The sequence below is a fragment of the Homo sapiens genome, chromosome X, assembly GCF_000001405.40.
Source record: "Homo sapiens chromosome X, GRCh38.p14 Primary Assembly".
NCBI lineage: Eukaryota > Metazoa > Chordata > Mammalia > Primates > Hominidae > Homo > Homo sapiens.
The window spans coordinates 39,968,428-39,970,395 of record NC_000023.11 but is presented as its reverse complement, the minus strand read 5'-3'; the positions used below and the strand labels follow the sequence as shown (position 1 = coordinate 39,970,395).

Below are 1,968 nucleotides of genomic sequence, written 5' to 3'. Positions count from 1 at the left end.
TGCAAAGTTCTGTGGCAAAGGGCGTGGATTCCGGGAGGGGTAAAGAATTGGGGACATCAAGGTGCTCTACCACGAAGTGTTTCCCAAAGTTTCCTGACCAAGGAATGCCTTTGTTCATACGACTGGATCTCACAATACACGCTTCAGGAAACACCAGCCTAGCCATGCTTAAAGTCATTTGCAGTTCTGATTCTCTGATTTCTGCGCTCTGAGTAGTTTCAGGAAGGCGCCGATAGCAAACCTGGATCATTCTGATTGGATGGAATTAGACCAGAGGCGGTGGTAGAACTTGAGTCCGACGGTCCATTGTGGGAAGTTCCCTTCAGAAGGGGTCCCTGCCAGCTCGCCCTGTGATGCCCATCTTCACTTCAGCCTACAAGACTTGCCTGGCCCTTGGTGGGTGTGAGCAGAGCCCTCCCGGAAGCATTACTTCCGGAGAGGCGTAGTTCTAGGAACTGTCGGGCTGGACCGGGAAATTCATTTTTCCTGTGTTTTGTTACTCCAGGAAGACTTTTTCTGGAGGCTTGACTTTGGGACAGCCTTTCTTGGTATTGGCATGGTGCCATTGGCCTTTCCCCTTCTCTCTAGGCTGGGAGCCAGGTACCTGCCATTGAAGACTCAGTCAGGGCTTTGGGGGTTGGGGTTACCCTCACTCCCAACATATCTGGATGCCCACAATGCCTAGCTATCCCCACACCCCAGGGATGGATAGGGGCTGTCAGCCTGCCCTGTTCTTTGCCTGCTAACTGAGCTGAACATCATAACGGCCCTGACGTCACCTAACTGCCGAGTCCATCTAAATGACAGCTGGAACCCCCTGCAGGGCGAGAGCTCTGTGACTGAGGTGGCCTCAAGCACCTACCCAGCCCCTCTTTATTTTTCAGACTTGAATCCATCCAGCAGCCCCGCCTGCCTTCCCGCTAGGCGCGGTGGAAATGCTTCCTGTTTATGACTGTGTCTTGTGAACCCAGAACTCAGAGAGGTGGGGCTTCCGACCTGACACCAGGGGCTGCTTCAGTTTCATCAAAACCCACCCGACCCCCTTGTAAATGCCCTGTGGCTTTGGGAGCGGCGGTGGGTGGGCTCCGGGCTGGGGGAGGCTGGCGGCTTGGGTTCCCTGTGGGACTCATAAATTTGGTCTTGTTAAGAAAACCTGCAGGGATGGTTAGGGTTGAAGGTGATCAGGTTACAAAAGCACTCCAGGCCTTGATGGCTTCACGGGAGGCCTGGGACACACAAAAGGCCCTGGGGCCAGAGGCGAGTGAAGGTGGAGGCTGAGGCAGAGCAAGCCACTCCCACCAGGGCCCTAAAGTGGCCCACTCACCCCAGAGGACATCCTTCACATTAAGCAGCTTGGAGAAGAAACACCTTTTTCCCTTTCTGGGCGAGGATCACCTGGAAATTTACTGTTGTGATTTTATCAGAAATAAATGCAGCAAAATTTGTGCACAGAAAAAAGTACTAAAAGGAAACACAGGGCTACTTTACCCGTAGAAAATCCTTAGCGTTCAATTATAGGTAATTTATGTTTCTTTTTTATGCCTTTTTTTTTGGTATTTCCAAATTTTCTACAGTGGCCACGTGCTATTGTTAAATCTTAAAAAAAAAAGTGACAGAAAAAAGAATAGAGGGAATGGTACACTCGTGTTTTTGGGAAATAATTGTTCTATAATGCTCTGTACTACATATTCAATAGAATCTCAGTTTTATAAAACAAAAAGTATGTAGAGAAAGGATGAAAGGAGACACATAAAATTGTTATCAGTGTTCATCTCTAGACATGTGGTTGATTTTCTTTTCTTTTTCCTTTTCTTTTCTCTTTTCTTTTCTCTTCTCTTCTCTTCTCTTCTCTTCTCTTCTCTTCTCTTCTCTTCTCTTCTCTTTTCTTTTCTTGAGACGGAGTCTTGCTCTATCGCCCCTGCTGGACTGCAGCAGTGTGATCTCGGCTCACTGCAACCTCTGCCTCCC

At 48.8% G+C, this 1,968-nt stretch overlaps 1 annotated feature.

The window, feature by feature from the left end:
• Window positions 395-939: an enhancer, noted in NCBI's record as "H3K4me1 hESC enhancer chrX:39828711-39829255 (GRCh37/hg19 assembly coordinates)". NCBI's record gives its function as "activates a minimal SCP1, AML or CMV promoter by ChIP-STARR-seq in primed H9 embryonic stem cells {active_cell/tissue: H9 hESC(primed)}" and the evidence as "EXISTENCE:reporter gene assay evidence [ECO:0000049][PMID:30033119]".